General features: G+C 51.0%; 1 long non-coding RNA gene across 5 annotated transcripts in view; it reads left to right on the forward strand.

Moving 5' to 3' along the window:
• DGCR5 (DiGeorge syndrome critical region gene 5) overlaps window positions 1–16,559 on the forward strand; it is a 60,775-nt gene that overhangs the window by 3,523 nt on the left and 40,693 nt on the right. For 2 of the 5 annotated variants that reach the window (NR_110533.2, NR_002733.3), the window contains exon 2: window positions 13,767–13,910. The exons of the other annotated variants lie outside the window; for them this stretch is intronic. This is a non-coding gene — a long non-coding RNA (DiGeorge syndrome critical region gene 5). The remainder of the gene's footprint in view (window positions 1–13,766; window positions 13,911–16,559) is intronic. 5 annotated transcript variants of the gene reach the window in all.

Raw genomic sequence — 16,559 nt, forward strand, 5'->3', positions numbered from 1 at the left:
CTCTGCAGCTGTGCAGATGCCCTCTCGGGGCCCTCTCTGCACCCCTCAGTGTCCCTGCTCTGCAGCCTGGCTGCACCCAGGCCAAGGTCACAGGCACCCTCCTCGAAGCCAGATCCCAGATGCTGCATTTGCCCCAACTGTCCGTTCACTTTCTCATTTGTTCATTCATTTGCTTGTTCGTTCCTAGCCTGTCAGATTCTCTTCTGAGCCAGGCAAATCAAGGGGTGCAATCCTTGGCATCGTGCATCTCTAGGATTAAATGCTTTAAAGGATAGGAGGTAACAGAGTGGCCCCGGGGAAGCCCGATCGGAGTGGCGGGCATGCTACCCCACCCTGCAAATCTCCCTGCACTGTCCCTGGGGCCCAGCTGGGTTCCCCACACCAGTTGTTCTGTGCTGCCGTTTCTTCTTTTATCGCTGTATTTTAAACACTTTGCACATCGGGAACTATTCTTGTGCATCGTGGGTTTTCTGGTGTGTGTGGAATCCCTTCCTGAGAATGCACCATCATTTATTTATCCAAACCTGCACCGGCCTCCTGCACTGCCTGCAGCCGTGGAGCTGGGCACCGGGAGATGCAGCTCTGCACACCCACCCCACCATGTCCTCAGCTGGCACCCACCAGGTCTAGGGGCTGGTCACGTGCCTCTCCCCTGATGCTTGAGCTGATTTCAGGGGACTCGGCAGCAGGGCCAGATCCCGCCCCTCCTAGCCAGCTGAGGCCTTTGACAACCGTGGGCTGGCCGGGTGGGTGATGGTGAGTGAGTAGAGTCTGGGCATCCATTTGTGCAGTGGGTGCCTTGGGGCCGCCTCTCCTCTCCCTCTTTCACACAGCCTCTGGTCTTGCCCGCTATGGCCTGCGGGGCCTCTTCTGCGGGGCAGCAGGGCAGCGGGGCATGGGGTAATGCTGACACTGTTCTGCAGCTGTGTCCTGTCCAATGGAGGCAACCCACGGCAGCCAGACCAGGAGGTGGAGAAGAAAGGCAGGGCTGTTGGCACACCTCGAGAGTGGCCTTAGGAGAGGCTGAGTGGGCACAGGCCAGGGTCCCCATGTAGTTCTACACAGGCCTGGCAGGCGGTAAGCCCCATTCAGGGCCCTGGCACATGGAGCCGGGCTGATCTGGGAGTGAAGTGTCAGGTGCTGACCCAGCCTCACTCAGAGCAGCCTGCCCTGGGCCCCCGGGTGCCTCTTGGCTCTCCAGTCGGCACCCTGGCATTCTTAGCTGGCTGTCACGGGTCACGGTCCATGGAGTTGAAATTCTTTGGAATGTTGGGGGTATCACATAAGGGCTTTGTGGTCAAATGTGGGACCTGCTGGAATAAATGGTGCTGATGGTGCTCCTTTCCCGCAGGGCATCTTGGGCTCTGTTTTGGAGAGGGGTGGGCAGCACCTTCTCTGAGAGGCACCCCTATGCGATGTACCTCAGGGCCTGGTGTGCCCAGGAACCTGTTTTGGGAAACAGTGGTTGAAGTGCCTCGGAGGACCAGAGGAGACCTGTGGGCCTCCAGCAAGTGCCCCAGGATGGGTAGACCCTGCCACACAAACCCCGCACCCACGGGGCGCCCAGTGGGTGGAGGGACCACTGCTTCCCCCAGCAGTTTGAGGCGATGTGCAAATTTAACCTTTGGATTTATGACTCAATTTCTTTGTAGCAAATGTCACGGGAAATGTCAGGCCAAGGCTGAGGCTGGGTGAGGGGCCCGTCGAGGAAGCGGGTAGGGCTAGGCAGGCTAGAGTACCGAGGAGGGGCTCAGGCCAGGGTGGGCTTCAGGCCCCTCACCTCCTCCTGGGAGCCTTCCTGGATTGTCCCTTGCTTGCCTGGATCCCCGGCACTGTGTCCTCAATTTGTCCCAGCTATCACAACCTTGTTGAGATGTTGCCTTTATTTGCCTTCTACCAGGGCCCAGATGAGGCCAGCTCGGGGACATGCCAGAAGTCCCCCATTCCCCAAGGCTGGGCAGCCATGGGATCAGCTTGTGCAGTGCCGGCTTGCTGTATGACCTTGGGCAGCTCCACCCTTCCTGGTCACCGTAGGCCTCTCTGCAGTCCACAGCTGGTGGCCAGAGGTGGTGTTCCCAGCTCAGTGCCTTCAAGAGTGGGAAAACGCCTAGAGTCCTCAGTATGTGGGGTGTGGGGCTCTGGAGGAAGTGGGTGGGGGCTGAATGCAGGGCTGGGGTTGCGGAGGGCTGGCCCTTGGTGGTCCCAGGGGCTAGAGCAGCCCCTGCACACAGCAGGTGCTCAGTAAAGACCAAAAGGCAGTGCGTGGATGTGGAAGGTGGAGGTGGATTCCAGCTGGGAGTCCACAGTCCCCAGTTACATGTCCCCCCTCCACCGCCACATGCCAGATGTCATTCCAAGGCCCCACGCTGGCCCGTCACCAGCTCTGCCCTGCCTCCCAGGCCCGGGCGGGTCAGGGAATGGTGACTGCCTCCTCCCTGCCGTGTGCCAGGCCTGTGCACTGGAGCAGGGGTTCAGGCTCCCTAGTGCTCTGCATCTCTCCTGCACACACAGCTCCCCACACTGCACACCTTAGGCCTCCAGATCCAGCCTGTCTGCTAGTGTCACATCCTCCGTACCCAATGTCCAAGCCCAGAGTCTCAGCCTCTTCCCTCGACCCATCCCCAAAAGCAAAATCAGTGTCAAACCTGCACCCTGTCTCCCGGTCCATCCCCTTTACTCCTCACTGAGGACCAGCCTCAGACCTGGCCTCTGTCCCCAGCCTGTGGCCACAGCTGGCCCCTGCAACCTCCCTGCCTCCTGGGTTCAAGCGATTCTCCTGCCTCAGCCTCCTGAGTAGCTGGGATTACAGGTGCCCACCACCAAGCTAATTTTTTTGTATTTTTAGTAGAGATGGGGTTTCACCATGTTGGCCAGGCTGGTCTTGAACTCTTGACCCCAAGTGATCCACCCACCTCAACCTCCCAGAGTGCTGGGATTACAAGCGTGAGCCACCGTGCCTGGCCTCTGAAGGACACTTTCAAGAGAATACACAAACAACAAATCAGGAGAAACTATTTGCAAATCATATATCTGGTAAAAGACTTATATCCTAAATATACAAATAATAACTCTCAAAACTCAATAATAAGAAAAAAACCTATTCACAAATTGGGCAAAATAATTGAACAGATGGTTCACCAAAGAAGACATTTTGTCAGCAAACAGGCACCTGAATAGATGCTCCACATCTTTAGTCATTATGGAAATGCAAAATAGAACCTCAGTGAGATAATATTTCACACCCACTAGGATGGCTGTAATTTAAAACAGAAAATATCAAGTGTTAGGAAGGATGTGGAGGAACTGGAACTCTCATACGCTGTTGGTGGGAATATAACATGATGCAACCACTTTGGAAAATAGTTTGGTAGTTTCTTAAAGAGTTAAATATGAACCTACCATATGACAGTCATTCCCCTCCTAGGTATTTACCCAAGATAAGTGGAAGCATTTGTCCAGACAAAGATTTGTATACAAAGGTTTATAGCAGCTTTATTCGTATAAGCAAAAACTGGAAATGACCCAGAAGTCTGTCCACATGTGAATGGATAAACAGGCTATGTGATATCAATACAGTGGAATTGACTTTTGACACATGCAACGTGGATGTGTATCATGGATGAATATCAAAGGATTTTAGACATGGATAAATATCAGAATGATTATGCTGAGTGAAAGAAGTCAGACAAAAAGGAGTACATACTGTATGTTTCTGTTTAGATTAAATTCCACAAGATGTAAACTAATCTACAGTGACAATATAGAAGAATGGTTGCCCGGGGCAGGGAAGGGCACGGGGAACCTTTTGGGGGTAACCACCTCAACTGTGGTCAGAGGTTCACAGGTACAAACATGTCAAAAGGTACCAAATTATACGTTTTAAATGGGTGCAATTTATGTCAATTACACCTCAACAGAGAAAAATACAATGCTTATTTTATGCAAAGGGTTATTTTGTAAAACTCTTTTGAGGAGGACCGTCCTGGTCAGCGGCCCTCACCATCGAGACTCTCCCTGCACATGGGTGCTGTGGTGACTCGGCCCCTGGGCTCACCCTCTGGTGCTGTGTGCACCTCAAGAGCAGGATGGAAAGGTCCCCTCCCCACAGCCTGGCTGTCAGACCCCCGGCACAGAGGTGCACCGTGCAGCCTCCCGTCATTTCCCATTTGCCTGCCCAAGCTCTCAGTGTCTGAGCTCTGTCCTCTTTCTGGAAGACAGCCAGGTTTAGTGTTGGGAGCAGGAGACCAGCATGGGCTAGCCCAGTCCCACCACCTGAACAGAGGGGCTGTGATCCTCCAAGCTACCCAGGGAAGGTGCCACCTGGGTGCACAGCTGGTCCCAATGGTCAGGCCTCCCCTTGACAGAGGGGCAGGGCCGTGTCATGGTCAGGGCCTGTGCTCTAAAGCCAGACTGAGGGTCAAAACCCAGCTGCCCCATTTACAAGCTTCACGGTCTCAGGAGTGTCACTCTGCACATCAGTTTCCTCATCTGTAAAACCGATCAGTGACATCTGCCTGGTTACCTGCTGGGGCAAGTGGGTGAGTTGAGTCCGATGAAGCACTTAGAACGGTGCCTGGTATGTGGCAGTGTACAGAGCATGGGGCAATCACTGCAGCCGACCTAGCTGGTGGCTCCAGTGGGCCTTAGTGCCCCAGGCATCTGAGGAGCCCACTCTTCAGCACTGCCCCCGAGTGGCTGCAGCACACACTCCCCCAGGACTCATTCAGCCCTCCCAAGGAGTGGGAAGCCTCCGGAACCTGGTGCTGTCCGAGGCACGACACGCAGGAAGCAGGGCAGGTGTCCTCCCTGGCCCCTCACCCTTCCTAGCCAGGCTGCAGCTGATCCGAGGTGGTTCCTTGATCCTGGAGTCTGAAGGGACATTGAGGGGCTACCTGTGCTCCAAACAGACCAGCCCGCTTCTCATCTGCTTCACACACAGGGGTTCTGGGTAAGATTTCACTTCATTTCTTTGAAACACCACTCTGCTGGGCCAGCCAAGTCCTGTAGACCCCATCACTTGTACCCCTTGACCTCAGCAACAGGACCAAGACCTGTAGACCCCACCACTTGCACCCCTTGACCTGAAAAACAGGACCACAACCTACACCCAGCCGTCCTCACCTGGACTATGAGGATGGTACTGCTCACTGGCTCCGGACAGCTGTGTGACTCCAGGGGAGCCAGCTGTGGTTGAGATCTCGGGGGTCTTGGTAAATCTGGTAAACTCCTTGTGCAGTTCTAGCGAGCCCAGTGTGAGGACTGCCTGTTGGCTGGGAACCGTAAATCTGCTTGGGTTTCATGAGAATCTTGCCCTGAGTGACCTCCAGCTGGGGAACTCACCCTCCATCTGCGCCAGGGAGAGCTTGGTCATTGTCTGCAGGGACCCAACTAATCAGGACGGGCTTCCACGAGGAGACAGATTTGAAAGTATGCTCTCTTCGGGAAGCAGTAGCTTTAAACTGGACTAGCTCTTATATAATGGGCACTGTGTCCCTAACGAAACCAAAATATGGTCCAATAATGGCTTCTTTGAGGGAAGCACAGGGCAGTTGGGTTGTCCAAAGCCTTCTTTGGAACTTCACAGGTTTAAAAGGTGATGGTTCAAGAGGCCCCAGTATTATTCAGCCATATAAAGGAATACATAAACAAAAATGTGGCCTAGCCATACAGTGGAATATTACTCAGCCATAAAAAAATAACATTCTAATACGTGCTACAACATGGAAGAACCTTGAAGCATGATCCTGAGTGAAAGAAGCCAGACACAAAAGGTCACATGTAATGTGATTCCACTCATATGAAATATCCAGAATAGGTCAATTCAAAGCGACGGAAGATACATTAGAGGTTGCCAGGGGCCAGGGAACAGGGAAATGGGGAGTGACTGCTAATGGGTTCTGCTTTAGGGTAATAAAAATGTTCTGGAATTAAACAGCAGTGATGATTGCACACCATTGTGAATGTACTAAAACCAATTAATTCTACCCTTTAAAGTGGTGGATCTTATGTGAATTATATCTCAATTGTATCTAAATAAATAATAATTTGTAAAGGCCTCAGGAGAGGAGCTGATAATCAGGACTTAATCCCTGACTTGGCACACTACCTGTCACCCAACTGTCTCCAGTCCTTCATACTCATCAGGAGCCTTGTGCAACATCACCTTTGCACTTGAGGCTTCCTCTGCTTAGAATGCTGATCTGCCTGCCCCAGCATGTCCCATGAGCCTGCCTGGCTCAGCTCAGTGACTCTCGGCTTCTGCTCTCCCCATTCCAGGTATCACAGCTTGTATTCTGCTTTCAGAAATCAGGTAGTCAATCTTGCTGGTGCCTAGGGGACTGGCATTCTGTCACATATAAAGAGTGGGTGACCGCCAGGTGCGGTGGCTCACACCTGTAATCCCAGCACTTTGGGAGGCTGAGGTGGGAGGATCACGAGGTCAGGAGATCGAGACCGTCCTGGCTAACACGGTGAAACCCCATCTCTACTAAAAATACAAAAAATTAGCTGGGCGTGGTGGCGGGTGCCTGTAGTCCCAGCTACTCAGGAGGCTGAGGCAGGAGAATGGCATGAACCCAGGAGAGCTAAGATCGCGCCACTGCACTCCAGCCTGGGCAACAGAGCAAGGCTCCATCTCAAAAAAAAAAAAAAAATGAGTGGGTGACCAGCATTAGAGCATCAGGGAACACCCTCACCCAGGCACTCACCTGTGGGATGAAGCCACAGCACATCACCATGTGGAAGCCAAACTTGGTCACATACTGAGGCTCAGCACCCTCACCTCTTCAGCCTGTTGACAGAGATCCTTGGCCTGAAGGAGCTGTTTGTCTTTCTCTTAAATGCCAGACCTCAGCAGAGCATCAGTACAAGCCTGGGCTGCACATGCTAGAATATGGGTGGTCTAAGGATGTACTACATACAGTAGCAATTAGTCAATATATGGATCTGCCAGGACACTCCTACCTGAAGCACACTGGACAGCAGGGTTGGGTATAAAAGGGGTTATTATTACCTCAAGCACACCAGACAAGAGGGCTGGGTATAAAAGGGGTCATGTGCCAATTCTACTAGCTTATCAGCTCCATCAAAATTCTTATTTAATAATGTCATTTTCATAATGTAGTGTAAAGGGAGATGGTATACAACTCAACCTATTATTGAAATGCCACCAAGAAGTACCATGAGCACCAATCTAGGGTAGACAATGTGGCTGGGTCAAGGTACCCAAAAGCAATCTGAACATACCCACTGTGTTCTCCTCCTTCAACTTCTCCCTGAGCTTCTGGTTGTAAAGGTGCAAATCTGCCATCTGGTCTCCAAGTTTTGATGCTTAACGGAGGAAAGAAGAAATGCCCCTAATTAAAATAACAAATAAAAAATAACATTATCCAGTTTGTTCCATTTTCAGAAATGTTTTAAATACATTAAAAACTACTCTGCACTCTTTAAAAAGTAAAAAATGAACCCCAGGCAATGACTCTTTTCCTATTTCTTTTTTTTTTCTTTTCTTTTTTGAGACGGGGTCTTGCTGTGTCATCCAGGCTGTAGTGCAGTAGCACAATCATGGCTCACTGCAGCCTTGACCTCCAGGCCTCAAGCAATCCTCCCACCTCAGCCTCACAACTAGCTGGGACAACATGCATGTGCCACCATTCCTTTTTTTTTTTTTTTTTTTTTAAGATATGGAGTCTCCCTATGTTGCCCAGCTGGTCTTGAACTCCTGAGCTCAGGCGATCTTCCTGCCTTGGCTCCCCAAAATACTGGGATTACAGGTGTGAACCACTATGCCTAGCCCTGGCAATGACGCTTTCCAAAATATAAAATTGTGTAATCACAAAGAGGAATTAAGCAGGTGAGCTTCAACAGAAGTCTTAGCAGGTACTAGGAATTAAAGGAGGAGTGCTGAAAAAGTAACAATAAGTGAAAATGCAGGGTCAGGCACAGTGGCACAGTGGCTCAGGCCTATAATCCCAGCACTTTGGGAGGCTGAGGTGGGAGGACTGCATGAGACCAGGAGCTGAAGACCAGCCTGGGCAACATAGTGAGATCCCATCTCTACAAAAAATTTAAAAATTAAAAAAAAAATAGCTATAAATTTTTTGTGAAAACCAATGTAAATCACATATAGGAAAAAGACTGGGACTGGGTGTGGTGGCTCACAACTGTAATCCCAGCACTTTGTGAGGCTGAAGGGGGTGGATCACTGAGGTCAGGAGTTTGAGGCCAGCCTGGCTAGCATGGTGAAACCCTGTCTCTACTAAAAATACAAAAATTAGCTGGTTGAGGTGGCCGGATACCTGTAATCCCAGCTACTCGGGAGGCTGAGGCAGGAGAATTGCTTGAACTTGGGAGGGGGAGGTTACAGTGAGCCAAGATCGTGCCATTGCACTCCAGCTTGGGTGACAGAGCAAGACTTTGTCTCAAAAAACAAGCAAACTGTCTGGGTGGGGTGGCTCACGCCTGTAATCCCAGCACTTTGGGAGGTTGAGGCAGGTGCATCATGAGGTCAGGAGATCGAGACCATCCTGGCTAACACGGTGAAATCCCGTCTCTACTAAAAATACAAAAGAGAAAAGAAAAAAAAATAGCTGGGCGTGGTGGTGGGCGCCTGTAGTCCTAGCTCTTAGGGAGGCTGAGGCAGGAGAATGGCATGAACCCAGGAGGCGGAGCTTGCAGTGAACCGAGATCGCGCCACTGCACTCCAGCCTGGGTGACAGTGAGACTCCAACTCAAAAAAAAAAAAAAAAAGAATTGCGTATTTGTTTGTTTTGAGACAGGGTCTCACTCTGTCATCCGGGAAGGAGTGCAGTGGCGCGATCTTGGCTCACTAGAGCCTCTGCCTCCTGGGTCCAAGCAATTCTCCTGCCTCAGCCCCGGAGTAGCTGGGATTACAGGTGTGTGCCACCACACCCTGCTGTGTTTTTGTATTTTTACTAGAGACGGGGTTTCACCATGTTGGCCAGGCTGATCAAGAACTCCTGGCCTCAAGTGATCCACCTTCCTCGGCCTCCCAAAGTGTAGGATTGCATGTTTAAAAAAAATCAAACCTCATGAATGAGACCAAAGCGTCTACTGGCGCACAGGAAAAGAACACCCTTTACTTGAAATTACCCCAGGGAAAACCCAGGCACAGCCTCCCCAGCCTGGCAGCCCCTGCCAGCCTGTACCTAGGGTGGGCGTGAGCGTCCACAGCTGGGAGAGCAGCCGGCACACCCCAGCCCTGCTCCCAGGGTGAGCCACGCATGCACCAGGCAGAGAACTCCTGGGCTTCCGGCTGCTAAGCCCCAGGGGCCCCAGCGTCACCTGCTCTCGTGCGTGGACTGAGCACCTACTGTGTGCAGGCCCTTCTCAGGGGTGGGAGGGAAGGAGTGGTCTCACCCTGCAGAGCTTTCAGGACAACTGAGGAAGTTTCCCAGGGTCCATGGGAAGTCTGAACCAAAAACTGCTTCCCAGTGAGTGGGACTCCTCACTTTGAGGGATTTGGGTTCTGAGCCAGTAGAGCAGGCAATGCAAGAGGATCCGATCCCACATCCAGGCTGCATGGCTCTGGGAGTCCTCCTGCCAGCACTCTCCACCAGGACCCCTGCTGCCCCTCAGAGCACCCCCCACCAGAGTATGCAGGGCCTCTTGAGCCCACTTGGGCCAGGAGGGCACCCAGGCCTGCCTTTCCCTGCCTGCCTGCTCTCAAGGGTTAAGCTAACTTTCTCCATTTGTGCTAACGTTTTCCATACATTCTTTATTTATTTAATTTTTTTTATTTTTTGAGACAGAATCTTGCTCTGTCGCCCAGGCTGGAGTGCAGTGTTACCGTCTCAATCTAGGCTCACTGCAACCTCTGCCTCCCGGGTTCGACTGATTGTCTTGCCTCAGCCTCCTGAGTAGCTGGGATTACAGGCCCGTGCCACCCCCCCGCCCCCACTGGCTAATTATTGTATTTTTTAGTAGAGACGGGGTTTCACCATGTTGGCCAGGCTGGTCTCAAACTCCTGATCCACCCACCTCAGCCTCCCAAAGTGCTGGGATTACAGGCATGAGCCACCACGCTTGGATTTCCATACATTCTGGCCATTGGGACGAGCTGTGCACCCAGGTGTCACATTCCCTGGGTAGCTTGGAGGATCACAGCCCCTCTGTTCAGGTGGTGGGACTGGGCTAGCCCATGCTGGTGTCCTGCTCCCAACACTAAACCTGGTTGTCTCATCCACGCAGGGCCCCCACAGGACCTCCAGTCCATGCAGGGCCCCCACGAGACCTTCTGGTCTGCACAGGGCCCCCAGAGACCAGGAAGGATCCCCTCGCTGGAATTTGAGTCCCAGCCTGCGAGTTGGGCCAGTGGCATTTGTTCTCCACGTGTGACTCTGTAAACAGCTTTCCCTCCTGGTTTCTGTCTTTTTTTTTTTTTTTTTTTTTCCGAGACATGGTCTTGCTCTGTTGCCCAGGCCGGAGTGCAGTGGTGTGATCTTGACTCACTGCAACCTCCACCTCCCGGGTTCAAGCAATTCCCCTGCCGCAGCCTCCCAAGTAGCTGGGATTACAGGCGCCCACCACCACGCCCAGCTAATTTTTTGTATTTTTAGTAGAGATGGGGTTTTACCATGTTGGCCAGGATGGTCTCGAACTCCTGACCTCAGGTGATCCACCCGCCTCAGCCTCCCAAAGTGGTGGGATTACAGGCGTGAGCCACCGTGTCTGCCCTGGTTTCTGTCTTGGGTGTGGTCCCCAAACTCTTAAGCACAGCCTCACACCTCCACCCAGTCATTCACATAGACCCTGGGGTGCGCAGAGGCAGAGGGTCACCCGCAGAGGAGCTGTCCGCATGTCCATGGCAGCCTCAGTGTGGCTTCTCTGCTCAGCCCAGGGTGTGGTGATTCCGTCACTGCTTTAAATGTGGGGTTCAGGAGGAATTCTGATATAACAGGGATGTCTCCACATGTCTTCCCTGCCTTAGCGTCTTGAGGTGTACGTGGAAAAACCTCTGGCAGGGCTCACTCTGACAGAGTCCCGGCCTCTGACATTGAATCACCCACAGTCTCTCTAGTTTATGTGGTAGGGTTCGGGATTTATGAAAATCAAGTACTAAAAAATGACTTCCTTGTCTCTTTGAATTCAACTCTGATTAATGTTTGATCCTATTTATTAACTTAAACCATGAAATTCCCTTAAGTATTTTAAATGGAATTAATATACGTCATATATTTGATTTTTATTTTCCTATATCAGTTGTTTGGCTAGCAAACAGACCTTCCAAGCATTTAAACAGTGCTTGTAAATCTAATAAATTAAGCTAAAAATATGAAGCACGTTTAATTCTCTGGATTTTAATATACTTTGTGAGCTTAGTAACATTTTTCTATTCCTCTTAAACTTAAAAAAAAAAATTGAAAACTAGGCCAGTTTCAGTGGGTCATGCCTGTAATCCCAGCACTTTGGGAGGCCTAGGCAGGTGGAACACCTGAGGACAGGAGTTCAAGACCAGCCTGGCCAACATGGTGAAACCCTGTCTCTATTAAAAATACAAAAATTAGCTGGGAGTGGTGGCACATGTGTGCCTGTAATCCCAGCTACTCCGGAGGTTGAGGCGGGAGAATTGCTCCCAGGAGGTGGAGGTTGCAGTGAGCCGAGATTGTGCCACTGCATTCTAGCCTGGGCAACAAGAGCGAAAGTCTGTCTCAAAAAAAAAAAAAAAAAAAATTGGAGACTAATATTAAAGAGCACAATCTAAAGTGTAGGGCTGGAATGAATGAATGAGCTCTCTAGGCGAGCAAAGCCTTTCAGGGCTGATGTCCCTCGGTCCCACGAGCCAGGCCTCCGCAGGCTGAGCACTGAGCGCTGTCTGTCTGACCAGAACATCATCCACTCGGGCAGTGCCCTCCTGGCCCCGGCCACCAGGGCAGCGTGGGAGCAGATCCAGCGGAGCGAGGGTGGCACGGCACAGCTGCTCCGGCGCCTCGAGGGCTACTTCAGCAATGTGGCACGCAACGTGCAGTGGACGTACCTGCAGCCCTTTGTCATCGTCACCACCAACATGAGTAAGGCACTGGCTGCGTTGGGGGTGGAGGCCTGCAACCCTCAGGGGTGCGCCCAGGAGCTGGGTCCCCATGGGTGGAGCAGGTGGGCTCCCGGCCCCCACTTGGCCATGCTCTTAGAAAAATGATTCAGAGGCTGGGCGCAGTGGCTCACGCCTATAATCCCAGAACTTTTGGAGGCCGAGACAGGCAGATCACATGCAGTCAGGAGTTGGAGACCAGCCTGGGCAACATGGTGAAACCCTGTCTCTACTAAAAATGCAAAAAGTAGCCAGGTGTGATGGTGCATGCCTGTAATCCCAGCTACTTGGGAGGCTGAGGCAGGAGAATCACTTGAACCTGGGAGGCAGAGGTTGCAGTGGGCCAAGATTGCACTATTGCATTCCAGCCTGGGTGACGGGGAGACTCTGTCAAAAAAAAAAAAAAAAAGCCGGGTGCGGTGGCTCATGCCTGTAATCCCAGCACTTTGGGAGGCCGAGGAGGGGCAGATTACGAGGTCAGGTGATCGAGACCATCCTGGCTAACATGGTGAAACCCCGTCTCTACTAAAAATACAAAAATTAGCTGGGCGTGGTGGCAGGCGCCTGTAGTCCCAGCTACTCGGGAGGCTGAGGCAGGAGAATGGCGTGAACATGGGAGGCGGAGCTTGCAGTGAGCTGAGATGGTGCCACTGCACTCCAGCCTGGGCGATAGAGGGAAATTCCATCTCAAAAAAAAAAAAAAAAAAAAAAAAAAGGTTCAGCAGCAAGGCCTCCATTTCCTCATCTGTAAATGGAGCCTTTGGGAAGACAGTCTGCAATGACACACCCATGGCTCCCAGGGGACAGGTCCTGGGCTTGGGAGATGTTAGGCCGTGATCTTGGGGGTTTGGCAGGCCTTCCAGACCCTCAGGTGTGAGACTCTAGAAGAGTGAGTGTCGAGGATCCTGCCTCACTTCAGGCTCACTGCAGACAGGTGTAGGTACACATGGGATGCAGGAAGTTGGAAGTCGCTTCTGTTCTAAAGATGGTTAGTCAACTGGATATGGCGGTTCACACCTGTAATCCCTGCATTGTGGGAGGCTGAGGTGGGCAGATTGCTTGAGCCCAGGAGTTCGAGACCAGCCTGGGTGCCATAGTGAGACCCCATCTCTATTTAAAAAAAAATTAGCCAGGTGTGGTGGCATGCTCCTGTATTCCCAGCTACTCAGGAGGCTAAGGTGGGAGGATCGCTTGAGCCCAGGAGGTTGAGGCTACAGTGAGCTGAGATTGCACCACTGTACTCCAGCCTGGGTGACAGAGTGAGACCCTGTCTTAAAAAATACATATAAATAAGTAGGCTGGGCACGGTGGCTCATGCCTGTAATTCCAGCACTTTGGGAGGCCGAGGGAGGCAGATCACTTGAGATCAAGAGTTTGAGAACAGCCTGGCCAACATGGTGAAACCCATTCTCTACCAAAAATACAAAAAATTAGCCGGGCATGGTGGTGTGTGCCTGTAATCTCAGCTACTCGGGAGGCTGAGGCAGGGGAACTGCTTGAACCCAGGAGGCAGAGGTTGCAGTGAGCAGAGATTGCACCACTGCACTCCAGCCTGAGCGACACTGTGAGACACCGTTTCAAAAAAATTAATAATAAAAAATAAATTAATTAATAAATATGTCCAGCCAGTGTCAGTGTGACAGTTGTGGTCATTTTGATAACAGCAAGGGTTCAAGAAAGCCCTGGGAGTGATGTCTGATTAAATGAACTGTCCCCCCAGTTCTTGCTGTCGACATCTTTGACAAGTTCAACTTCACGGGAGCCAGAGTCCCATGGTTCGACGCCATTCATGAAGAATTCCCCAGGGAGCTGGAGTCCTCCATCTCCTTCCCAGCCAACTTCTTCAAACCACCTGAAGAAAAAGGTAGAACCGCTTAGAAACCTGCTACTTCCCTTGGAGTCCCCAGCGTTCAGGGAGGGGAGGGCTCCCCCTGCGGGCATCCCAGGAGGATGAACACGCCATACTCCCTGCGCACTGAAGATCCGGGGCCGGAGTGTTCCGAGTGTTCGCTGGCACCAAGTCCTATTGGTGACAGCAGGTTGTTTTGTCCAAGTGCTTAGGTAGAGGTTGAGCATCCTAATCCTGAAATCTGAAATGCTCCAGAATCTGAACCTTCTTGAGCACCAACCTGACACTTAAAGGAAGTGCTCATTGGAGGGTAAGTATGAAATGATACTTTAAAATAAAAAAAAATCAAAATCCAGGCCGAGCACAGTGGCTCATGCCTGTAATCCCAGCACTTTGGGAGACCGAGGCAGGGGGATCACCTGAGGTCAGCAGTTCGAGACCACCCTGGCCAATGTGGTTAAACCCCGTCTTTACTAAAAAATACAAAAAATTAGCCAGCTGTGGTGGTGGGCACCTGTAATCCCAGCTACTCAGGAGGCTGAGGCATGAGAATCACTTGAGCCCAGGAGGCAGAGGTTGCAGTGAGCCAAGATGTGCCAGCCTGGGTTACAGAGTGAGACTCTGTCTCAAAAAAAAAAAGAATCCAGAATGTTCCCAAACATTTCAGTTAAGGGATACTCAGCCTTGTAACTGATAACTTGAGAAAGAAAAGAGAACTGAAATTTGTATGTGAGCTGATTGTCTTTGATGGGCAGTTGAACCCGTGAAGTTGAACTTGTCAAAGATGTTGACAGCAAGAACTGGGGGGACAGTTCCTTTAATCAGACATCACTCCCAGGGCTTTCTTGAACCCTTGCTGTTATCAAAATGACCACAACTGTCACACTGACACTGGCTGGACATATTTATTTATTTATTTATTTATTTATTTATTTATTATTATTAATTTTTTTGAAAAGGTGTCTCACAGTGTCGCTCAGGCTGGAGTGCAGTGGTGCGATCTCCGCTCACTGCAACCTCTGCCTCCTGGGTTCAAAGCTGCTTCTAGCTGGGCATGATGGCTCACGCCTGTAACCCTAACACTTTGGGAGGCCGATATGGGGAGGATCGCTTGAGCCCAGAAATTCAAGACCAATCTGGACAACATAGGAAAACCCCATCTATACTAAAAAAGTTTTTTTTTAAATTACCTGGGCATGGTGGCACATGCCTGTAGTCCAACCTACTCAGGAGGCTGAGGCGGGAGGATTGCTTTAGTCCAGGAGATGAGGCTGCAGTGAGTTGTGATTATGCCTCTACAGCCCAGCCTGGGCAACAGAGCAAGAACCTGTCTGGGTCGGGGGAGGCAGGGGAAGCTGATTCTAAATAGAAATAGAAATTTTAGACTCACCTTCCCTTCCCTGCAAGAAACAAACAAACAAAAACAAACAAGAATGCTGTCTGTGTATGTACAAATCTTCACTCCTGGGTTGAGATTATGATACAAAACAGTTTGAACATTCTGAACTTTCTTAAGGTGCTTTTTTTACAGATCTGTGACAATTACTAAAAACTTCCCCAAATAAAAAGGACATGAAAAGGTAAACTCCATAATGGACAGTTTAAAATTGGAAACCTTCTTAGTAAATGGATTTTGTCAGGTATATGGTGTTACCTCATGTGTCTTTTTTTTGTTTGTTTTTTTTTTTTGACAGAATCTCACGCTATCGCCCAGGCTGGAGTACAGTGGCGCGATCTCCGCTCACTGCAAGCTCCGCCTCCCGGGTTCACGCCATTCTCCTGCCTCAGCCTCCCGAGAGTAGCTGGGACTACAGGCGCCCGCCACCACGCCCAGCTAATTTTTTGTATTTTTAGTAGAGACGGGGTTTCACCGTGTTAGCCAGAATGGTTTCGATCTCCTCACCTCGCGATCCATCCGCCTCAGCCTCCCAAAGTGCTGGGATTACAGGCGTGAGCCACCGTGCCTGGCCCTCATGTGTCTTAAAAAGAGGGGTGACTCTGATGTGGGGTCATGCTTGAAACTGAGAGGACGAGGTCCCCGACCCTCCATTGCAGCCAGCTCTCTCTGGAACTAACAGAGTGAGAACTCGCTCATTACCAAGGGGAGGACACCAAGCCATTCATGGGGGACCCACCCCCATGACCCAAACAACCCCGACCACGCCCACCTCCAACCCTGATCACATTTCAACATGAGATTTGGAGGGGCCAGACCTCAAAACTGCATCAGATACATTCATGTTTAAGCAGTCCATCTCCAGAACTCTTTTCATCCTGCAGATCTGAAACTCTAGCCCACAAAACACCAACTCCACTCCCCAGCCACTGGTGCCCACCGTTGTTTCTGTCTCTGAATTTGACTCCTCTAGGGACCTCCCATAAGTGGAATCATACAATATTTGTCCTTTTGTGCTTGGCTTATTTCACTGAGCGTAATGTTCTCTAGGTTCACCTGTGTTGTAGCAAACGTCAGACTTTCCCTCCTTTTGAAGGCTGAGTAATATTCTGTTGTGTGGATGGAGCACGCATTGTTTATCCACTCACCTGTTGACGCATGCCTGGGTCGTTTCCACCTTTCGGCCTGTGTGAATGGTGCTGCTCTGAACAGGGGTGAAGACGTATCTGGGCGTCTGCTTTCAGTTCTTTTGGGTGTATACCCAGAAG

This window comes from Homo sapiens, chromosome 22 (genome assembly GCF_000001405.40).
Source record: "Homo sapiens chromosome 22, GRCh38.p14 Primary Assembly".
Lineage (NCBI taxonomy): Eukaryota > Metazoa > Chordata > Mammalia > Primates > Hominidae > Homo > Homo sapiens.